General features: G+C 47.0%; 2 annotated features.

Annotated features, from left to right (window-relative positions):
• Nucleotides 9,341–10,540: an enhancer, noted in NCBI's record as "MED14-independent group 3 enhancer chr5:172995751-172996950 (GRCh37/hg19 assembly coordinates)". NCBI's record gives its function as "activates an origin of replication core promoter dependent on BRD2, BRD4, P300/CBP and CDK7 cofactors, and independent of MED14, by STARR-seq in HCT116 cells {active_cell/tissue: HCT116}" and the evidence as "EXISTENCE:reporter gene assay evidence [ECO:0000049][PMID:35650434]".
• Nucleotides 22,267–22,995: an enhancer, noted in NCBI's record as "NANOG-H3K4me1 hESC enhancer chr5:172983296-172984024 (GRCh37/hg19 assembly coordinates)". NCBI's record gives its function as "activates a minimal SCP1, AML or CMV promoter by ChIP-STARR-seq in naive H9 embryonic stem cells {active_cell/tissue: H9 hESC(naive)}" and the evidence as "EXISTENCE:reporter gene assay evidence [ECO:0000049][PMID:30033119]".

Genomic DNA, 23,407 nt, shown 5'->3' with positions numbered 1-23,407 from the left:
AATTCCCGACTCACAGAGACTGTGAAAGATAATATATGTTTGTGTCTGTTTTAAGTCACTAAGTTTTGGCTGTTGCCTAACAGTAGATAGCTGATATAAAGCTTAGTACCAGAAGTGGGGTGCTGATGGAACATAAACCTACCAATGTGGGAGCGTCTTTGGAACTGAGCAGAGGGCAGAAGCTGAAAGGACTTTGAAGAAAGTGTCAGAGAAAGCCTAAAGGGCACTGGAGAAGCCAGTAGTGGGAGGAGAATGTTGGTGAGGGTTTATAGGAAAGTGAGAACAATGCATTAGAGACTGGAAGAAAGGTGATTCTTGTTATGGAGAGGCAGAAATTAAGCAACACTGCAACAAGATGGAAAGCTCATAAATTGAATGATCTAGCTAAGGAGACTTTTAGGCAAGCCCAGATATTGGGCTCTTCCACTAAGAGTATCTTGCTACAAATATAAAAGAACCAGAAAATGCAGCCCTGCCCTTGGCCTTGGCCTCTGGGCGCCATCTCACTCAGTAGCATGAACTGTGCCCACTGGCCTCCTTGCAAGTGACTGATGCAGAAGGTGGAGAGTTGTCATGCTTGCTGGTTCCCAGGATGGTTCTCAGAAAGCTTGGAACTGAGGTGGAATCATGTTCGTGTTCCTCCCAGAGTATAGAGCAGTTAGACTCTCGGTACATTTCTGGAGAGAGATGGGGGTGAAGAGTGCTCAAGGGAAGAATTGAATCAATGCTCCCAGCACTCCACCCTGCCCATGGGAAGTCAGGTTGCACAGAGGCTAACCTGAAAACTCAGTCACAATGCTCCCTGGATCTGATCATATTTAGGGTATACTTTGGGGTGCCTGGGCCCCTCAGCAGGTGGGTCTGGACAGAGGCTGCACACTGCAGGTTCCTCCCATGTTTTTCTTCCTAAGGATGGAACCACTCACATGCATGATACTCACACACATGACACTCACACGCATGCCGTCTCTCCTTGGGATACCTGACGGTCTGAGCTTTAAAGTAATTTACCTTTATTTACCTGTAATGAACATTCGTCCCGCTTTCTTCTTGTCCAGTGCTTCAAACATCTTTTCTTTGGGGAGCTCCTGCCTCCTCAGTCCCTGACTGTCTAGAGGAGCCAGAAACTCTATTTCTCAGACAGGAGGGTGCAGGCATGTGACCAAACTCACCATACAGATGTACCTGCACCAGACTCAGATTCAGAGCCAGGGGCTCCAGGACGAAGCAAGGTCCCATGGGCTCCACCCTGGCGGGGAGGCGACATTGGAAGCCCCTTTGCAGTTGCCCTACTCAGGGCAGGCTGCCGTGTTGTTTCCTGGAGCTGCTCTGCAGTAGGTGGCACGTTTGGGCCATATTCTAGAGCCCAGTTCCCAGGTCATTCAAAAGATGCTGGGGCCCCCAAGTAGCCAGTGATAAATCCCATTTCTGCTTAAACTCAATACAAGTGGTTTCTGTTGTTTGCAACCAAGCCTGCCTGAGGCCTTCTACTGGCGCTGCACCTTTGCAAGGGAGACATTTGGTGTGATATATAACAGCAACTTTGGGACGAATTCCACTCTACCAGACACAGCTGGGAGCAGAACAATCCCAGATACCTCTTCGGGTAAATGGACCCCTAACTAGGGAAATGCATTTTTTAATGTGCTTTTTAAATCACTTGGAATGCCCTGACCTCCCCACCTCCTCCTCTGTCCCACTCGGGTCCACCCTCCACATCACGGCCAGTGTGATCTTTCTCCACAATGATCTGGTGGTGCTACTCCCCATGTGACACCTGCGCTGGGTGTCTCTGTCCCCACCCCATCTTCCTCCTCCCTGCTGTGCCCACCCAGCCATGCCATGGGGACAATCACTCTTGCTCTCTGGCTTCAAGTGGGGTTTGGCCAATGGGAGCATGGGCAGGCCCTCACAGGGCAGGAAGAATGGACTTGGACATCTGTTACCCCCGGTCCTTCCCTGCCAGGTTACCACAGGTAGGCTGTGTCCCTTTACTGCAGACTCATATGTGCTTCTCCACACAGCCACCCTCTCTGGGTTCTGATAGCCACTCCCTGGCCTCCTCTCTTCGGGTCTAGGGGTAGGCACAGCTCCCCAAAGAGACAGTAGCACCTCACAGCTGTGTCAGTCCCAGGCATGCTCCATGCTCTGCTGGCTTCCCTAACCCCGTCCACCCCTTTGCAGACAGCGTCTTTATCAACCCACACTTCAGTTACCCATCTTAGTGTGTCATCTGTGTCCTGTTAGGGCCCTGGCTGAGACAACAGCCTTCACTCAATGTTTAGGTTTTGTGCAAGACGCAATTCCTTCAGGACTAAGCTGAGATTTCAAGACCCTATGAGATCTGGCCCCTGCCAGCCTTTCCTGCTCATCTGTCCTTCCCTGACTATGCCAGGCTTTCTCCCTCCCTGCCTTTGCCACTCCACCAAGGCCCTCACCCAGGAGCACCCTCACTCTTCTGGCCTGCCGCTGCAGAGATGTCTGCTCTAGGCAGCTGTGCAGGCCAACTAATGCCCACCACAAAATGTCCATGTCCCAATCCCTGGAACTCAGGAATGCTACCTTCTATGACAAAAGGAACTTTGCAGGTGTGGGTAAGGATGTGGAGATGGCAAGAGTGTCCTAGATTATCCAGATGGGCCTTAAATGTCATCACAAGTGTCCATAATGAGGGAGGCTGACGGGCATTTGAGTGCAGCAGGGAAGGCCGTGTGATGTTGGGTGCAGAGGTTGCAGGGGTGCATTTTGAAGAAGGAGAAGGGGGCTGCAGGCAAGGATGCAGGCAGCCTCCCAAAGCTGAACAGGGCCAGGAAGCGATTCTCCCCTGGAGCCTCCGGAAAAGACCAGCTCAGATGACACCTATAGCCAGGGAAACTGATTTCACACTTAACGACCTTCAGTGTCATAAGAGAATACATTTATGTTGTTTTAAGCCACTAAGGTAGTGGTAATCTGTTACAACAGCCATGAGAAACTAATCAGATGCCTTTCCCAATCCCAGACTGGGCAGGCGGACCCCTCTGAGTTTCTGCCACCCGTACTCACTCTGAGTGGCACCTGTCAATCCGTATCAGACCTGCAGTTTACCTGTTGATCTTGCCACCAGATCCCGAGGCAGGGGTTGTGCCTTTTCATGTCTGTTTCACCAGCACCTGCAGAGAGCCCAGCACGCGGTGTGGCATAAATGAAAAGTTGAAGGACAAATTGCATACTTGGCATTGTCACTCACCAACTGAAATTCCACAAAGCAGGGATGCTTACTTATGATTTTCAGGAATCTAATAAACTCTTCCTGGTGACCCATCAGACACCAAAGTGGGCTCCTTGGACACTGGTTGTCGGTTTTCTACGATGCTCCACTGGGACTGAGTCAGAGCTGGACTCCTGTCCTCCTGTGACTGAATTAATTCCTCTGATACAGCCCCCATCCTCAGGGTCCCAGGGAGTGTGAATTTTGGGAAGTGTCTCATATAGCATGGAAAGTGGAGCAAAGGGCCTGGGCATGTGCACGCCACCGCTTTCTTTTCTCTCTGCCCCATTTTCTCCTTTCTATCCCCGCCCCCCCCCGCCCCGACATTCAGGGACAGGGACTGCAGCTTTGTCCCTGCCCAGAGCTCCCCTATCACGCGCTGGCTGAGGCTGCAGGGTGTGCAGCCTTCTCTGCACGCTTTGCCCTCTCGGTCCCAGCATGGGGACTGGGCAGGAGGCCCACAGCTGCTCAAGGGGCTGGGGGAAACTCACACAGCGGCTCTTCCGCCCTCCCTGCACTCCTTTTCTGAACACCTCTCCTGCCCATCCCCCCTCTCCTGTCATGAGAGTGCCCAGTTCTGCCACCCCACTCAACTCCAGAGACCTCAGCCAACACTTCCACCAAGAATGGGGTTGGGACCTGCAGGGCTACCCCTTAAGGCCCTCTGGTCCAGCCTCCACACCCATAGGTCACCAGAGGACTTAACGGCTTCAACCACTCCCCACCGCAGGGCTCCTCACTGAGCTTCCAGCAGGGCCGCCCTCTCCTGTCCCTTGCACTAGCCTGGGAAGTCTTTGAGCACAGCCATCAGCAACTTCCTCTTCATGTTCCCAGGGCCTGGAAAGGGGCCTTGCATATCAATTTGCTGAAATGTATCAGGGTAGGGGCTGGGGGCACGGTTCAACTCTTAGCAAGGCAGCTGGGGGACCTGAGGTCGCAGGGCAGGAGCCGTCCTCACGCTGAGTTTCTGTTTCCTTCTGTGTAGAATATGGCTAGGGAGGAGTCCTGCTTCGAAGGATTGAGAAGAGATTGAAATAAGAGCTCCCAAGGCAAATTGAGAAGTGGGGAATGTGCTTCCATTGAGAAAAATGAAAGACAGACCCTATCGGCACCTCCCCTATGATTGAAAGAGGAACCTCTGGGCAAGGCAGAGGAGAGACATTTGTGCTTTCATAGTTTGTAGTGGGAATCAGCCAAAAAAATGCTAAAAAGGATGGTATTATTGAGACAATTGGTGAAATTTGAAGAAGGTCTGCAGATGAGATAATACTATTGCATCCATGTTAATTTTCTTGATTTGAACAACTGTACTGGATTATGGAAGATAATGACTTGTTTTTAGGAAAGACCCACGGAACTATTATAAGGGGGCATTATATTTCAAATGGCTCAGATCTTAAAAGTATGTAGAGACAGAGCAAAAATTATAAAGCAAATGTGGCAAATTGTTAACAACTGAGGAATCCTGCTAAAAGCTATGTATTAATAGAAGGTTTTTGTGCCATCCTTGCAACTTTTCAACTAAGTTTGAAATTGTTTCAAAATGAAAGTTTTCAAAAACACTTAAAAACATTTGCAATATGTTCATTCATACTGTTTGAATCTTGTTCGGTGAGAATACATTCATGCGTTAATAGAGTGTTGCGTGTTTTTTTGTCTGTCTGTCTGTTTGTTTGTTTGTTCTCAAGACGGAGTCTTGCTCTGTCTCCCAGCTGGACTGAAATGGCGTGATCTCGGCTCACTGCAACCTCTGCCTCTCGGGTTCAAGCGATTCTCCTGCCTCAGCCTCCTGAGCAGCTGGGATTACAGGTGCCTGCCACCACGACCAGCTAATTTTTTGTATTTTTATTAGAGACGGCGTTTCACCAGTTGGCCAGGCTGGTCTCGAACTCCTGACCTTGTGATCCACCCACCTCAGCCTCCCAAAGTGCTGGGATTACAGTCGTGAGTCACCGCGCCCGGCTGAGTGTTGCGTATTTTTAATGATTGAACTGACACAGCGTGATGGTTAATTGTATGTGTCAACTTGATTGGGCTCAGAGATGCTCAGGAGCTGGCAACGCGGAAATACATCCGGCATTAAAATAAATGCAATTAAAAGTAAAACACCAAAAACCCCACATTATTTCTAGGTGTGTCTGTGAGGGTGTTTCTGGAAGGGGTTAGCGTGCATCCGTGGACTGACTGAGTCAAGATCGCCCTTCCTTGTGTCGGGGCGTCCTGCAATCTGCTGAGGGCCTGAAGAGAACAAAAGGCAGAGGAAGGGTGAGTGCCACTCTTTCTGCTTGAGCTGGGCCGTCGGCTCCTCTGGTTCTCGGCCTTTGGGCTTGGACTGACCTACTCCACTGGCTTCCCTGATCCCCTACTTGCAAACAGCAGGTCGTGGGACTTCACAGTATCCTCAGTCATGTGAGCCCATTTCTGATAACAAACCTCTTTCTGTCCATCTATACATGGCCTACTGGCCTGCAGAGTCCCGAGTAATCTACACAGTAGGCGAAACCTTGTGGGCTGAAAATCACAAACTGTTAAATATTATTATATTTGTCATTCTACTTATTAATATGATTGTTATAATTATTGTTGTTGACATTGTCAGTAGTTTGAGGGGTGACTGGCAAGGGGTGGGTTGTCTTCGTGGTGGCCGGGCAGTTCATTTTCTCGCCTCTGCATCCTGGATCCCGGCCCCAGGGCTGCTGCTCCCGGCAGGAGCCATGGCCCAAGGAACTCTCGACGGTCCGCAGCTGGCGTTCGGCAGTGACCCTTTTTCTCCACTAGAGGGCGCGCGCGACGCCTCGTCCATGCCGCCGGGCTCCACGGAGCCTGAGCTGCGGGCGCTGAGCCGCGGGAAATCCACAGACCCGGGCTGCAGGGAACCTGGCAACTGCAAATGAAGACAATCTGGGGTCTCTGGAACCCAACTCGGTTCTCTGCTCCGTTTTATTCCCCCGCATAGTTGGCTGTTAGCTTGAGGATGGCATTGAAAATGCATACAATTCAATAATTAATTCCAGACTGGATCTGAGGAAGCACAGTTAAGTTAACCAATGCGGACCGCGGACTCCACACCATCAAGGAGGGCTGCCCAGAGGTGGCAATGGGCAGCCCATGGGTCAGATTTTGCCCCCAGATATCCTTTGTTCAGCCTTCATGGTGTCTGAAAAAACAGAATGCAGAGAGTTTAACACTGAGTTTTTTAAACTTGGGAGAGTTCATATAACACCCAGATTCCTGTTGGTTTTTTTCTTACAAAATAAGGTAAAAGACACCCACATCCCCCCATGACAACACCTCCCTCTCTCTAGAGCTGTGGAGCCAGCCATTGCTCCCCCTGGACTGGGCATACACTCTCCAGCTCACCACAGTCCTCACCCTGGCACCACCTCACTGGGTTATGTCTCCTGCCTGGCCCTGCAGGCATCTGGCTTTGCCACCTAGACCACAGGAAAACCTAAATTATCCAGATGCCCTGAGAATGGGCCAGTTCCCATCAATTACATTTTCTGGTCAACTACCATTTTTAAGAAAAAATCCTTGAGATTGCAAGGCTTTCTGGGAATAAATTTTTAAAAAATTATGTAAAATGTTGCCTGCCTCCCTGTCATCATTACAACCACTGTGGAAAAGGAGGCATATGCTTGAGGCTGTGTGACCTTAAACAGTCACCCAACCTTTCTGTGCCTGTTCTCTTGCTTGTAAAATGAGGACTTTAATAGCCTCATCAAATGCTTTGAGAATGAGGAAGACACTCCATGTCAAAGCACTTAGCAGAGCCCCTGGCACATAGCAAGAGCCAAATAAGCGTTTACTATTATTAGTAGTAATTACAGGTTGAGCATCCCTAATCTGAAAATCCAAAGCCTGAAACACTTCAGGTCCCAAGCCTTTCAGATAAGGTATACTCAGCCTGTATTAATCACATAGGGTAGCTGAGTACACGGGGAAACTAGGCCATAGTTCTTAAACTTGGGTGCATATCAGAGTCACCTGAAGGTCATGTGGGCACAGAGATTGCTGGGCCCACCTCAGAGTTTCTGATTCAGCAGGTGTGGGCTGAAGCCTGAGAATGTGCATTTTTATCAAGTGCACAGGTGGCTGTTGATATGCTATTTGCATGAGCACACTGACTGTCTTAGTCCATGTTGTATTGCTGTAGAGTGATACCTGAGCCTGGGTATTTACCAAGAAAAAAGCTTTCTTCGGCTCATGATTCTGATGTCTGGAGAAGTTCACAGTTGGGCATCTGCATCTGGGGAGGGCCATGGGCTCCTTCCATTCATGGCGGAAGGTGAAGGGGAGTTGGTATGCAGAGAAAACGTAGTGAGAGAGGAAGTGAGTGGGGAGCCGGATGCCAGGCTCTTTAACAACCAGTTCTAGAAGGAATTAGCCAAGCAAGAATTCACTCCAAGGGAGGGCATTAATCTATTCAAGAGGGATCTGCCCCCATGACCTAAACTCCTCCCATTCACCCCACCTCCAATATTGGGGATCAAATTTCAACATGGGGTCTGGAGGGGACAGACATCCAAACCATGGCACTTACTAATTTCAAAAGTGTACCTACACATTGACTTGATTATCTGCAAAAAAGTCAAGGTAAGTATTTAAAGAGTAGACATGTATAAAGTACTTAGTACAGTGTCTAGCAAATAAGTGTTATAATTATTATTCATAAAATTGGGGATAATCAGGAAAAATCTGAAAACGAAAACTAAAGAGAAGGTTGTAGGGAGAAGCAGCTTTGGGCTTTTGGGCTAAGCGGTTGCAGGGGTCACCCTGTTTTAATCCCCTCTACAAGCCTATGGAGGAAGAACATGTAGGGAAAAGAGTTCTCAGAAATGAAGAGCCCATGCTAGGTTGCCCAGGTATGAGGTACCAGTGACCTCCCCAAACCCAGGTCTTTCTGCCTACATAGGGGCTGAGGTCTTCCCACTCCTCCATGTTCGTCTGAGCTATGGCTAATTTGAGTTTCAACACTTGATCTGGAAGTTCCTCTGTCTGGAGTATTCTACAAAAGGCCTGCACGCCCTGGGGTCCAAGAGCAGAATTCAGGGTCATGATGCAGTCACGGAAGGACGGCCGTGAGGGCCTCACGGGACAGGAAGGAAAGGAGGTGTGCAGGAGAGCCGAGGCCGCAGGTGGCATGTCACGAAGGAAGGCGACTGGGCCAGGAGCTGCACAACTGCAGCTGACCCTGTTCTGGGGCAGGTTCCCCGCATCACGTGTGTCCCTGACCCGCCCCAGCCCTTCACCTCCAGGGTTAGCGGAGGGCAGAGGCTGAATGGGCAAATAACCCCAAGTCATCCCCAAATCTAAATGGACCCAGGGTTTTGGAGGAGCTCATCCTAGACCCCCAAAGGCTCAAGCCTATTTCCAGGGACCGCAGGATCGGATGTGCCCCAGGTTTGTTCTGCCGCCTGGCCAAGGATGGGTGTTCACAGCAGGTAAAAACAGAGCCTGGGTGTCACACACCATGCAAGGGTCCCTCACAGCATGTGATGCAGCCAGCATGAGAAGAGAAGTGGGCTGCCCTTGGCCGAGATGACCCTCCCCACGGGGCCACGTTCCAACCAGAGATTCAAGACGTCTAACAACTTGGAATTTGAACCTGGCCTTCCCGATGGTTGGAAAGGCACATTTGTTAAGGGAGCCCTTAAGACCTATTTTACTTAACAGCTGTTAGCTCGATTTGAACTCTGAACTGTTGAGACCTGTGATATGTGGTCCCCTCTTTGTACTCCTGCCCGTGCCCTGCATTTGCAGGGACAGAGCTTCCCACCAGCACCAAGAACACTGCTGGCATTCAGATATTCAGAAGATATTCACCGAACAGAGGAACTTGGGGGGCTGGGGTTGGGGGATGGAGGGGCTGGGGCTGGTGGCTGTGAAGTGCAGGGTTTCTGCCCAGGGTCATGAAAATGTTCTAGAGTTGATTCTGATGATGGCTGCGCAGCTCTGAATACACTAAAGGTCACCAAATTGTACACTTTAAGGGGGTGAATTGTATGGTATGTGAATGAGAGCTGAATAAATTATTAACAAAACACGACAACTCCAGAAGCCTCAGAAGTGTGCTGCCACACCATGATAGCGCCATTTAATGTCCAGTGCTGCATGCGATTCCTCCTGTCACATATACCTCTGATCCTTGTGACAGCTCTGTGATGCAGGTACTCTCCTCTTCACCTTTTAAAAGGGGGATCTGAGGCCCACGGTGCTGGCTGACTTGCCCGGGCTTGCCCAGGAAGCTCAGCAGCGGGGCTAGATCCAACCCAAGTACCTGTGGCAACGTGCTGCCTCATGGGGACATCTGGATGGGAAGGTTGTCCCCATGCTCAGCCAGGAAGAAGCCAGATGGTGAATTTTCACGAAGCTCCAGAATGTCTCAACCCCACAGGAGGAAGGCTGTCATCTTTACATCCCGCCACAAAACCATGGATATGGTTTTGCACTGATTAAATTTACAGATAGAATTCTGTAACGAGGCTACTGCCCTGGGGAGAGTCCGGAGTATCCTGGGAACGGGCTCAGTGGCCTGTCAGCCCTCTGGGAAGATGTTTACCTGGTGCCTGGGTGGGATGGCTGGGACACAGGTGTGCTTGTCACGTGTCAGTGAACCAGCATTCACACCAGACCCTCATTGCTAAGGAGTGGGGGGCCCCCTGGGCAGGTGCATCTGAGGATGCTGTCTGTTTGGATCTGGCTGGATCCTCTTTCTCTTCCAGCATCCAGATTCAACTGAACCTAACCTTCTTCCCTCTACCCCCTCCCTGGGTTTTCCAGAGCTCTTGCTGCTAATTGTAGAGGATTCTGGGCATCAACAGTGTCTCCTTGTGCTCATTTTAAAATCACAGAGTACTCAACTATCGATTTCTAAATAAGCTCCATTTTCCTGCAATAGTCTTTGCAAAATGCCTGCCCAGATCTATTATAATTGCCTGGAAGGCTACTTTTCTGTATTTGCAAGGCCCTGTTGCTCTTGTACCCTCTCTGAGATCTCCTGAAAATTACTCCAGATTCTCATTAAGTATGATCAAGGATGCTCCTTTAAACAAGAATAGCCAGTAAAGCGTCCCGTTACCCTTTCCTCCTTCCTCCATTCTACAGCCAGGAATGCATAAGAGACAGCTGGAGCTCTAGCAGCCATCTTGAGCCATGAGGCAAACTAGAGGATGGAAGCAAAGGCTAAGCCTGGTGAAGCAGAAATCGTGGAGGAACACAATGCCCCAGTGACCATGGAGCCATGACACCAGCCCTGGACTAACTACTTGTGGAACCGTTTTAAATGAGAGAAAAATCAGCACAATTGTGTACATCTGCTGCTCTTTTAGGCACTGCAATTTGTTTTGCTTGTTTTTAAACCTCTCATAAATGGAATCACGCTGTGTGCCCTTTTTTGCATCTGGCTTCTTTCACTCATTTTCATGTTTGTGGATTCTTCATGTTGCTGCGTATAGTTCTTGATGGACACATGGGTTGTTTCCAGCTTGAAGTTATTATAAACAATGCTGCCTTGAACATTTTCACATGTTTCTTGATGCACAGATGTACACATTTCTTCTGGGAATATACCTAAGAATAAATAGCCAGATCATGGGACAGGCATAGGTGCAACCTTAGTAGATACTGCAAAGAATTTTCCAAAGTTTAGTCATTTGACATTCCCACTTGCACAATATGAGAATTCCCATTGCTCCACTTCCTCGTCAACACTTAGTATTATTTGCCTGTTTTATTTTAGCCATTTTGGAAACTATGCTGTGGTATCACCTTATGTTCATTGGCCATTCAGATATCAACCTTTGCAAAGGGCCTACTCAAGTCTTCTGGCCAGTTCTCTATTGAGTTGTAGGCTTTTTCTCTTACTAATTTGTAGCTCTCTTCTGGCTATGACTTCTTTGATGAATATATGGTTTGCAAATACTTTCTCTCATTCTGTGACTTGTCTTTTCACTCTCATAAGAGTGTCATTTGATGGGTCAATTTTCAAGTAATAAAATCCATCAACCATTTCTTTATGGTTAATAAGTTTTAGTCCTGTCTAAGTCATCTTTGCCTACTCCTTTGTGTCTTTCTAGAAACGTTGCAAACGTCATAATTTTACCTTTCGTATTTTGATGTGCAATCCATCTCCCAAATACTTTTGAATGATCCATCGGACACCCATGTAGGTGAGAAACCTGTTTATAATTGTCTGACTAGAGTCCAACTCAGCCTTACACATAAACACCAAGTCGTTTTTGCACTGTTTAATACACACTGAGTTTCCCAGAATGTAACTCCTGTGTAAATTTAGAGAAGATCACATTTTGTTTTATTTGGAACTTTACCAAGATTTGAATCACCATTTCAGAAAAAATACCACTGACAAGGAAGCTGCCCGAGGCACATGAGTCCCCAATAACATGCCTGTGCCCGGCCGCATCCTAGGGAATTCTGTGCTTTATGTGCACACACACTTCACTGGCTCTCAAACTGTTAACTATTAAGGAAAAGATGCAACAATCTTCAACTGATTTGTGTCTAACTTCTCTTCAATCCCAACACATTCTTTGTAACTTGGAGCATGTATCTGATCACTTTAAATATACCCTCTCAGGTGGTCCTGCCCAGTGCCTAGGTATTGGCACACATATTATTTTATGATAAATCACCTTACTTTAATGTCTCTTTCCTATTACAACCTGGGAATTATATGAATTTGGGAAGGGATTATATGTATAAATACATTTTATTTAGTGGCAAGATGGTAAGGGGATTTTACAAAATATTTGCTATATGAAGGAGCCACGTGGTCCATGTCATCAGCTTTGCCCAGAGGGCCTCACTTTCCAAGTCAAATGAGCACATGGAGGTGTTTTCCTAGCCACAAGAGTAGTTTTTTTCCAAAGTGGAGTTCCCCTGGGGCCAACAGTATTTCTTCTCATTAAATTTGTCTCCCACAACCCCAGGACAAAAAACAGGTGAGTGCTCAAAGCCACTTTTCCTGGGTCCCCCATCTACCTGCCTGAAATCACAGGTGGGCCTGCTCTGCTTCTTCATTGGGTTTAGTTTCACAGTTACAAAGGTCTGAGATCAAGTCCCAGCTCTGCCTCAATCTAGCCATGTGGCTTTGGGTGGTGTGTCAACCCTTTGCCAGCCCATAGCATACACTTATTAAATGAGTCAAAGAAAACATATATGGCATAGTTATGAAAGTCACAAGGTAGGAACAAGCGCGGATGCGTGCTGAGTGCTTCCTATAAGCCAACTCCTGCACCAGTGCCTCAGAAGGAGAATCTACTTCACCCTCACAACTCTGCCATGAGTGCAGGGACCACGATTCATCCCCATTTTACAGATGAGGAAAGCAGAGGGACAGAGAGGATCAGTAAACTGCCCCGGGCTACACAGTTGGTAAATGGCACAGCGAGAGGCGAACCCAGGCAATCTGACTATCTCCCATTAAATGATAGCTTGGGCCGGGCGTGGTGGCTCATGCCTGTAATCCCAGCACTTTGGGAGGCCGAGGCGGGTGGATCACTTGAAGTCAGGAGTTCAAGACCAGTCTGGCCAATGTGGTGAAACCCAGTCTCTACTACAAATACAAAAATTAGCTGGGTGTGGTGGTGGGTGCCTGTAATCCCAGCTACTTAGGAGGCTGAGGCAGGAGAATCGCTTGAACCCAGGAGATGGAGGTTGCAGTGAGCCAAGATCACGTCATTGCACTCCAGCCTGAGCGACAAGAGCAAAACTCCATCTCAAAAAAATATATAAATAAATAAAAATAAAAATAAATGATAGCTTGTAGGGGAAGAAGTGCCCAGAACAGGCAAGACACTCAGAGAATGGCAGCTCTTGGCTGCTATTATATGCTCATTAGTTGCATAGTTCTGAACACCTACATGGATGGGTCCTCCCACCGCCCACCAAAAACTAGTTACATGCCCTTGACCTAACTGCATTTAATATACACCACAGTGGCTGTTAAACTAGTTGCTTTCTAATATCCCAACTACCTAAATTGGGCAGTGTTTGTCAATAGAACAAACACTAGTGAATGTGATGTTAATTTTAATGTCCTTGCCTGTGCTATAGGCAAGTCTGTGTTTGCATTGGAATGCATGCTGATATTTACCTAAAATATCCAATCCCATAAACAACAAAAAGCATACTATGCTGAAAATATTTCCAAGCCCCAGGCCACTTATGCCTGCAAATACTTGACACAATGAAGCACGTCTGCCCCCTTGAAGGCTGGTTGTAACGGTCTCTAGATCCTGAAGAATGTTGTCTGATGTAGACCAAGGTCAGGTATGGTAAATATAGTGGCTTCCAGCACAAAATAGACTCCACTTCCCAGCAGGTGTGGCTGCTGAAACTTTCCATTTTTGAAAATGGTTGCGGGCTGGGAGAATTTTAGGGAGGTTTGTGTGAGGTGGTGTCATGGTGGCCATCCAGAAAGCAGCAGGACCCTGGAATTTAAAGCTGACTTTCAAGTTGAGCCTCTGCTATCACAAAGTAGGCAAGAGGCCTCAGGCCCTTGAGCTTTTGCTTCCTTATCTGTCAAAGGAGAAGGTTGTACTAAGAGAATCCCTAAAGCACCCTCAGGTCTGGACTTCCAGGATGCCACAGCAGCCAAGAAGTGTCATGCTCCCCACGATTTTAAATCGGTTGGAGCTGGATCTCATTGTGAACAAGTCAGAACTTGCTTCTCTCCTGAGTGAGTTAGGTCCATCACTGCACTTCTCTGAGCCTCAGTTTCCTCCTTCGTATGATTAGGAGTAAAAATGCCATTCTCACAGGGTTGTTGTAGAGGTAACATTGGAAAGGCCTAAACATAAAATAGATGCTCAAAAAATGTCAGTTTCTTGCTGCCATGCATTTGCCCACCTTCTATTTTCTCCATGTTCCCCACTCTGCAGTCAGACCAACCCCACCTGTACCCCATGCCTGCCCATCCTTTCTTTCCCTAGAAGTCTGGAGAATCTAGATGTTCGCTTCCTCTACCCCAAACCAGCATCCAGTCCTGCACCAACGGCCACAATGGAAGCCACCTGATAAATCGATGCAATTACTTGTGTCGCGTTTGCACTAAGAATTCTAACGGTAGTATTTCGGAGCCCAGAACAGAGAGGAATCAGTCATTTAAAGATGGCAAGGTTGAATGAAAAATTTCATTCTTTGATGATGCTAGAAAAAGAAGTGTTCACAATGGTTTCTCTTCTCAATGTGCGTCATGCAAATGAGTAGCTGGTCCCTCCATGTGACTTGTTTGGTTCCATGATCTGTCTCTTTTTTCTCGTGGCAAAATAACCCACTTTATTAGATCCATCTCAGGAGCTTTACCAGTGGGTAAAGTCTTAGAGCCGGGATTCTTGTTTGCTTTCTCCTGTCAGCCACCCCAAATTCTTTTGGGAAGTAGGTGGAGTATAAATGAAAAATTGGTAAACAAAATTCTTTCTTTGGTCTCCTATGGACAGACCTCGGTCTCTTTGGGCTACTTCATGGCTCCCAAGCTGTAATTATTGGTTGCTTTTTTCAGTGTCCCTCTGAACTGAGTCTTTAGTTGTTCTAAATTCATTTGGGCTCCTTCTGGACCCAGGAATTAAAGGTGACTCTTTATTCCTGTAAGTCAGAGACGGCCTCATCTAAGGAAACATTCCAGGGCTGTTTGCACCGCGTGTGGCGAGGAGGGCCAATTAAAGCTACCCCCAGCATCCTCTGAGTGAAGTTTGAGATGGCCTTGGGAGACAGGAAGCTTCTTTATGAGTCCCATCTTCAGCCTGGAGTACTTTTCCTTCCTGTAGCCCTGAGCCCTGGGGCCCTGGAGTCATGAAGATTAAGACAGAGCCCATTGGGCCAGAAGAATGGGGGTGGTTTTATTGGCCACCAAGTACCCCTAACATCATGGGATTTGGATAATGCCCTGAACTACTCTGGACTTCTGAAAGCAAGAGAGCCTTTCTCCAAAGACTCCACAAGCTCTACTTTATCATAGTTGATTCTCAAACCCCTTTCACAATTCCTACCTTTCCAGCACACTACCTTCTGGGGAATTGAGTGGAGTGAGAGTCCGATTGAGAGACATTGCAATCTTTGCTCTTTAAGAATAATAATGATAACAAATAATATCTATTGAGCACTTTGCACGCATTACTTCACTTCCTCCTCACAACAACTCTCTGAGGTCAATACCATTATTATTCTCACTTCACAGAGGAGGGGACCAAGGCTGAGAAGGGGGAAAATAAGTTCCTCAGGGTCAGTAAATGACGGACATTCACACCCAGACCTGACTGGCCCCAGAAGCCTCACTTTTAACAATCGCATGAGTTTTCTGCCTGCTTTGTGCTAACACTGAAAGGCTGATACTTCAGATCCTGGTACCCACGTCAAACCTGGAAGACCTTAAGTGCATTGGCCAGATGGGAGGAGACACAGAGACCCCAGTGGCTAGAAAGGCAGGCTCTGGGGCCAAATGGCTCAGGTGGAAGTTAGCCCCAATACTTACCAACCGTGTGGCCGTGGGCAAGTTACTTCATCTTCTGTGCCTTTGTGTTCCTGGCATGCATAAGAAGAATCATCTCTTATCAGATTGTCATGGCGATGGAATGAGTTATACAGATAAAGCACACAGACAGCATTTGGCCCATTGGACGAGCTCCATGAACACTGGGTGTTTTCGTTGACTCTACCATCTCTATCCCCCACCCCCTCAGCACACCTACCTGGATATCCAGTAGGCAACGCAAATTTGGCAGAGCCAAAGCTGAACTCCAGATCTTCCCTTCCAAGCCTGCTTTTCTCCCAGTCTTGCCCATCTCAGCACCTGACAACTGTATCCTTCCAGTGGCTGAAGTCAAGAATTTTGGAATCTTCCTGGATATGTCTCTTTCCCTCACACCTCGTATCTAACTTATCTGCAATTCTTTTCAGCTTTACCTTTAAATATATCCGAAGTCCAACCCTATCTCACCACCTCCACTGATACCATTTGGTCCAAGCCAACACCATCGAGAGAAATATCTCCCCTGGATTCTTCCAGAAGCCCTGTCTGGCTGTGCTCTCTGCTTCTGCTCTTGCATGTGACACAAGAGGCATCATGTCACCCTACTCAAGACCCCATGTGGCTCCCCATCTCACCCAGAGAAAATGTCAACGGTCCAATCATGCCCACCTGCCAACAGCCAATCCCCTACCACGCCCCCTCTTGTTTATTCCTCTCCAGCCCCATGGGTCTCCTGCTTTCCCTCCTAGAGACTTTGGCACTGTCTTTCTTACTCCTGAAAACTCTTCCCCAGATATCTGCATGCCTCATTCCTTTACCTACTGTGGTCTCAGCTCACACAGCATTGCATCAAAACAGGTTTCCCTGCCCATCTTAAGGGAAACAAGCCCGAAGTTGTCTTTTGACTGTGTGTGTCACAAACCAATGAATAATCAAACCTCCCCCCACCCCGACTCTGCTTTCTTCACTTCTTCCCGGTATTACCTGTGGAACGGGCCGTCCTCAGATCAAACGCAGGAGAGGTAGAAAGGAGTGGCAGAGTGCTTGAGAAACACATCTGATGGAAATATGGTTCCTTTGGTAATATAGGAAGACATTATATAGATAAATATGTTGTATGGCTTTTGCTGAATAGCACATGATTGGTCAGGTCCAAATGCTGTTTTGGACCAAGTAATGCTGAGAAAGGCATTTTAGAACAAACTCGAGAAGTGCTCAACCTCCTTTCCAAAATAACACCCGAGATAAGGTTGGAAATGCAAACTAGGAGCTCTGAAGGAAGAGGTCAGATTGAACGCAAACATTTGGTTGCAGTTCCCCAGGAAAACTTGCTACAACCATCACGATGGGATTTTCTTTAAAGACATAAACTTACAAGAAAAAATGAAAGAGGTGAAAACAACAAAACTTTGGGAGCTGGAAAGCTCATGGATGAGAAGTAACTGACTGAGCAGCCCTAACAAAGGTGAATCCCAACCCAACAGGCAGGAAAATCCATGAACCCTGGATTTCAAGCAACCTTCATTATTTTATACTCTTTCCCCACAGCTTTGCTCTCAGTCCCAGCAGTACCTGTGGCCACAGATTCCTGGGTTTTTCTGAGCATTCACTGCATAAACCCACTGGCTTCAGAAGAACTCAGGAGTCTGTGGCAACAGGTACTTCTGGAACTGAGAGCAAAGCTGTGGGGAAAGAGTATAAAATAATGGAGGTTGGTTGAAATTTGTTTAGAAGTAATTAAATGCCTGGATCCCCACCTCAACTCCAAACTGCTAGGTGTCTGCTCCTTCTCCACCCTTCAAAAGACTGACCATTTGCTTTCCAAGGAGGGTAAAACATAGGAAATCTGGACTGTGTGACATCAGATCTAGTTGAGACCAGGGATATCATACATATTGGAAACAGGAGTATTCAGTGAGTATGGACATACCAGATGTTGAGACGCCTCCTTCCTCCACTCTCCCTCCCCTGTTGGACTTCCGGAATGCTTGCAGCCTTGCCTCTGCCCTCTAGACAGTAGGTTGGAAGGATCTTCTCTGCAAAGTCTGGAAAGCCCAAGTAGAAAGATCTGAAGATAATCACTGAGACTCCCCTCAAAACTGGCACAATGTAACACCCTATGAAGCTCACAGTCAAGAAACTCCACCCATTCAGACAATCACAGATGAATAAACATCTTAGGAAAACCTCTGTTAGGAAAGTCAGAGAACAAAACAAACAAATAAGAGCAACTTGGGAGAAACAGAAATTATGCAAGAAGAAAACTTCTAAGAATAATCACTGATAACATTTGGGAGGTAAGAAAAGACATTGTATTCATGAAAGGAAAACAGAACGCTATAAAACAAGAACACGTAAGGAACAAAAACTATTTGCTGAAAATTAAAAATGTAAAAAGAGCAAAAAACCTTATAAAAAAGATTGAAAGATAAAACTGAGGAACATTTTCAGAAAGGAAGTCAGAAAGAGGCCGGGTTGCGGTGGCTCATGCCTGTAATCTCAGCACTTTGGGAGGCCAAGGCAGGTGGATCACAAGGTCAGGAGTTCAAGACAAGCCTGGCCAAGATAGTGAAACCCCATCTCTACTAAAAATACAAAAATTAGCGGGCACCTATAACCCCAGCTACTCAGGAGGCTGAGGCAGGGAATTGCTTGAACCCAGGAAGCAGAGGCGTCAATGAGTCAAGATCGCACCACTGCAATCCAGCCTGGGTAACAGAGCAAGTCTCTGTCTAAAAAAATAAAAAAAAAAGGAAGTCAGAAAAACAAAGGGATGGAAAGAAAAGGAAAGAGAAAATAACTTGAAGATTAGCCCAAGAAGTCCAACATGCACATAAGAAGAGTATTAAAAAGAAAGAATAGTGAACATAGGGCAGAAGGGAGATTCATCAAAAACAACAACAACAAAACAAGAGTATTCCCACATTTGAAGAAGATGAATCTGCAGATTGAATGGGAACTGTAAGATTGCAGCATACTGGATGAAAATATACTCACACCAAGGTACAATATTATATAAAACTTCCAGAACACTGGGATTACAGAAAAGACCCTACCAAGTTTCTGAAGGGAAGGAGAAAAACAAGTCACATGCCACAGTCAGGAATTAGAATGAATTCAGAAGTCTCAATAGCACACAGGGAGAAAATCCCACAAAAAAGCAAACAAAAAACAGGACAGTGACTTCAACATTTTAAAGAAAAAATATTTCCAACCTAGAATTCTATATCCAGCCCAATTATCACTCATATGTAAGAGCAGAATAAACGCAATTCAGACACGCAAACTCTCAAACAAAATTTTGACTTCTACATGCTTTTTCCAAGAAAGCTATTGCAGGGTGTGCTCTACCAAATGAGGGAAGAAACCAAGGAGGAAAAAAGGAAGAGAATGCCATATGTGTTAATTTCCTAGGGTTTTGTTGTTTTCCACAACAAAGTCCGACAAACTGAGTGGTTTAAAACAACTCAGTTTTAAACAGATTCTAGTCCAGAGACTAGAAATCTGAAATCGTGGTAGCAGCAAGTCCACACTCCATCTGTGGCTTCTAGGGAAAGATCCTTTCTTGCCTCTTTCATCTTCTGTGGGGCCCACGCATTCCTTGGCTTATGGCAACAGAACTGCAGTCCCTGCCTTCTCTCTTCACATGGCTGATGGCTGTCTTCCGTCTGTGTCTTCACATGGTGTTCCCTCTGTGTGTATCTGGCTCTGTGTCTCTTTTCTTCTTGTAAGGACACCAATCATATTGGATTAAGGGCCCACCCTACAACTGCATGACCTCATTTTATTTAATTACATTGACAATGATCTTATTTCCAAATAATGTCACATTCTGAGCTTCTGGGAAGGATATGAGTTCTTGGGAGACAATATTCACCCACTACAACGTACAGAAACAAGAGGTGAGAGGAAGTGCTGGGTTAAGGGTGAAGCATTAGCCCAGGCTGACAGCTGTACAGGGGTGGAGATGAACTAGCCCAGACCGAGCAGGTGAGATTTCTTCAGGAAGGTGAAATTGAAAGAATTTATGAGAATGGGAACACGGAAAGGAGCTTTAGGAGATGAATTCTTAAGTACAGAGAAAACTGAGCAAAAAAAAAAAAATAGTAACAATAACAAGGCAATTTTTAATTCCAGGGAAAATAAAAGATTGGCTCAGGCATAGTTCTGCCAAGCATATATAAAGCTCTGTAAGAAACAATGAATACTGGCCGGGCGCGGTGGCTCACGCCTGTAATCCCAGCACTTTGGGAGGCCGAGGCGGGTGGATCACGAGGTCAGGAGATCAAGACCATCCTGGCCAACACAGTGAAACCCCATCTCTACTAAAAATACAAAAAATTAGCTGGGCATGGTGGCGGGCGCCTGTAGTCCCAGCTACTCAGGAGGCTGAGACAGGAGAATGGCGTGAACTGAGGCGGCGGAGGTTGCAGTGAGCTGAGATTGTGCCACTGCACTCCAGCCTGGGCAACAGAGCGAGACTCTGTCTCAAAAAAAAAAAAAAAAAAAAAAAAAAAACAAAGAATACTTCTCAAGCCAAAATTACAATATAAATATAAGGAGAAAGTGGGGGGATGGGAAGTCTTAAGGTAGAAGTGGAAGGAGGAGTGATAAGCCCTGTCTTCCACAGTGGCAAGTTAATGGGTAATACCAAAAATGAAAAAGCGGGAAACAGCAATTCAACCATATATAGAGATAGGGAGTGAACACTAAAAGAGTCGTAAACATTGTTCCTGGAGATGGGAAAATGGGAGGGAGGAAAACTGAGGAATGTAATTTGTCTTAACAAACCTTGTAAAACTAGTTGAACTACACATATTAGACAAAAGCAAAATGAGAATAAAAGGCACACACTGGACCAAATTATAGACAGCATTGTGCATTATAGCCTACGCCATAAGTACATATTCTTATTAAAATATTCTGTGGTGAAACTCTAAAGTCGGCTAACATGGTTCTCAGTCAAAGGCAATTTTGCCACTGCCTTCCTCCCACCCCTGACTCAGGGCACATTTGCTGATGTCTAGAGGCATTCTTCATAGTCACAGCTGGGGATGGGGGTGCTACTGGTGTCTAGTGGGTAGAGACCAGGGACACTGCTAACCATCTTACAAGGCACAGGACAGCCCCCCACAATAAAGAATTAAGTGCACAAAATGTCAATAGTGCCAAACTTGAGAAACTCCTGCTTAATGGGTGTGTGCCCTGCAGACTGCTGGGAAGATAAACCTTAAAATCCTGAAAGTGAAGACATCATGGGAAGGCTGACTAACCTAGATTTTGGGGTGGCTTTAAAATGCCTACAGATTCTTTGATACTCCTCTCCTCAAAAGATGGGTTCTAATTTCACTCTCCTCCAGTGTGGGCTAGGCTTAGTAACTTACTCTTTTTTTTTTTTTTTTTTTGTGATCAGTCTCACTCTGTCGCCCAGGCTGGAGTGCGGTGGCGTGATCTCGGCTCACTGCAACATCCATCTCCTGGGTTCAAGCGATTCTCCTGCCTCAGCCTCCCAAGTAGCTGAGATTACAGGTGCGCGCCACCACACCCAGCTAATTTTTGTATTTTTTGTAGAGACGGGGTTTCACCATGTTGGCCAGGCTGGTCCTGAACTCCTGACCTCAGGTGATCCTCCTACCTCAGCCTCCCAAAGTGCTGGGATTACAGGTGTGAGCCACTGCGCCTGGCCAAGACTTAGTAACTTATTTCCAATAAACAGAGTAAAGTGGGACTGATCATGCAGACCTCAGGGACTAGGTGCTGAAAAGCCAGGTGAGGCCGATTTCAAAATCCACACTAATGACCCTGCGCCACCCCGCATCTCTTTGTAGAACATTTATTTACATTCCTTGAGATTGCTTGAATTCTTTCCCCTCTGTCTTCTCACTAAGAACTCTGCCAGTGCTCCCCCTGCCCCCCATACACACACATGCTTTTAAAAATGCCCTTTATTATTGTTCTTTCCTGAAACTTAGTGTCTACATATTTCACTAGGGAGACTCAGAAAGCCCTTAGAGGAGTTGAATGCAGGAACTGTGAATTTAAAGTTTCTTCAAGACTCTTCCTCGTTCTCTTTCCCCTGGGTCTAGATGTGCAGCGATTCTGCCTGGCGACCTTCCTTCTCTCTCCGCATTCCCCGCCCCTCCGGAGCTCCATCTCTTCTGGCCAGAGTCCCGCATTCTCTCAGCCCCATTCCCCCTGGAAAGTGTGGAGTCTCCCTTGATATTGACACCCGTCATGGGGCTGTGCAGCTGTTCCCATGCAGCCAGCCTGAAGGCCTTCCAGACAGTGCTTGCATTCACCCACCCTCTGCATGGCACAGCCTGGCAGCTCCACAGGGCCTGGCACCCCAGGACTGTGGCTGAGGGTGGGGGTGCAAACTGGCATCTATGCTTCTTCTCCACCCCCACTCCTGACTCCCTAAATGTCTAGTAATTGAGAGTTAATAGCTAAGAAAGACAAGTACTTCCTTCCTGTGATCTAGAATGAACTGGGGGTGGGAGTGGGAAGATATTACATCTTTTTTTTTTCTTTGTGGTTGTAGATAACTATTCTCATCATATTATTTAGGTCTCATTTTGTTTGAGTGGCATAAATCCAATTCCGATTGGATTTGGCAGAAAGGGGAGTTTAATAACAGGGTATCAGGGTAAGCTCTAAGTAAGCTGAAGAAAGAGCAGGGATGCTGCCAGATGGGGTCGCCATGTACAGTTGTGCAGGCTGCATGCTGCACAACCCCAATGGCCACTATCTCACAGTGGCCAGATGAAGGGCACTTCCTGGAGCTATGCAGGATACAACTTGTCTAGCTATTCTGTGTCTCTACTCCAGGCTTCAGAAATAACTGAAAGCAGGGTCTCAAATGCTACCAAGACCCTGTCTGCATCTCTGAAATCAGCTTCTCCCTGGGTACTGGCGAAATCCCTCTCCCTGAAGAATGGTTTCATTTGGCTTAGCCTGAATCCAATTCCCATCCTGGACCCATTGTCTCTGCCTAGCAGGAGGCAAGAGATTTAAGAGCCTGGCCTCTGGGAATTTAAAGCTTTCAACCTCTACTTACTTGTCTTTATTTTCGGAACCTCCAGAGCCTTTCAGGCGCTAAGTAGCCAACAGTAGATGGGATGATGTGGAAGTAAAATTGCTACAACTCAGGAGTGGGTGTGAATTCAGCTAACCTCCTCCAGGACGTTCATCTGATGGGGCCTGAAGAGTTTTGGCAAAGTGGGAGCTACTCACCTATTTTGAGTATTCGGGGGGACCTTGTGATCCTTGCGCAGACATCTCCCAAGCTCCCTGTCTTGAAAGCAAAAGACACCAATTATCCCAAAGTAAGTGCCCAAGTAAGTGAGAGATGCTTGGGAACTGCCTCTCTCAAGGGGTCAGAGAGAAGAAACAACACTCTGGTTATGGTAAAGTTCTCTTTCTTCTGCCCGCTCCTGTTTTGTTTCTCCCCCAAGACAAGTTAGGCCGATGCACCCCTCTTGCCCTTTCTAGCCCCGATAGGACCCTCTTCATTCCTTTTAGAACCCCCAGCCTTTCACCCCAACTCCGATCAGCCACCGTGGCTCAGTAGTTTGAACATTAAAGCCAGGGAGAGACTCTCTGGGTGTCATGAAATCAAGGGGTTACCCTGAAAGGGCCAGGGGCGGGAGGTGTGTGGAATGAGGGAA

This window comes from Homo sapiens, chromosome 5 (genome assembly GCF_000001405.40).
Source record: "Homo sapiens chromosome 5, GRCh38.p14 Primary Assembly".
NCBI classification, from domain to species: domain Eukaryota; kingdom Metazoa; phylum Chordata; class Mammalia; order Primates; family Hominidae; genus Homo; species Homo sapiens.
The sequence above is the reverse complement of the archived record's forward strand: the minus strand, read 5'-3'. Positions and strand labels throughout refer to the sequence as shown.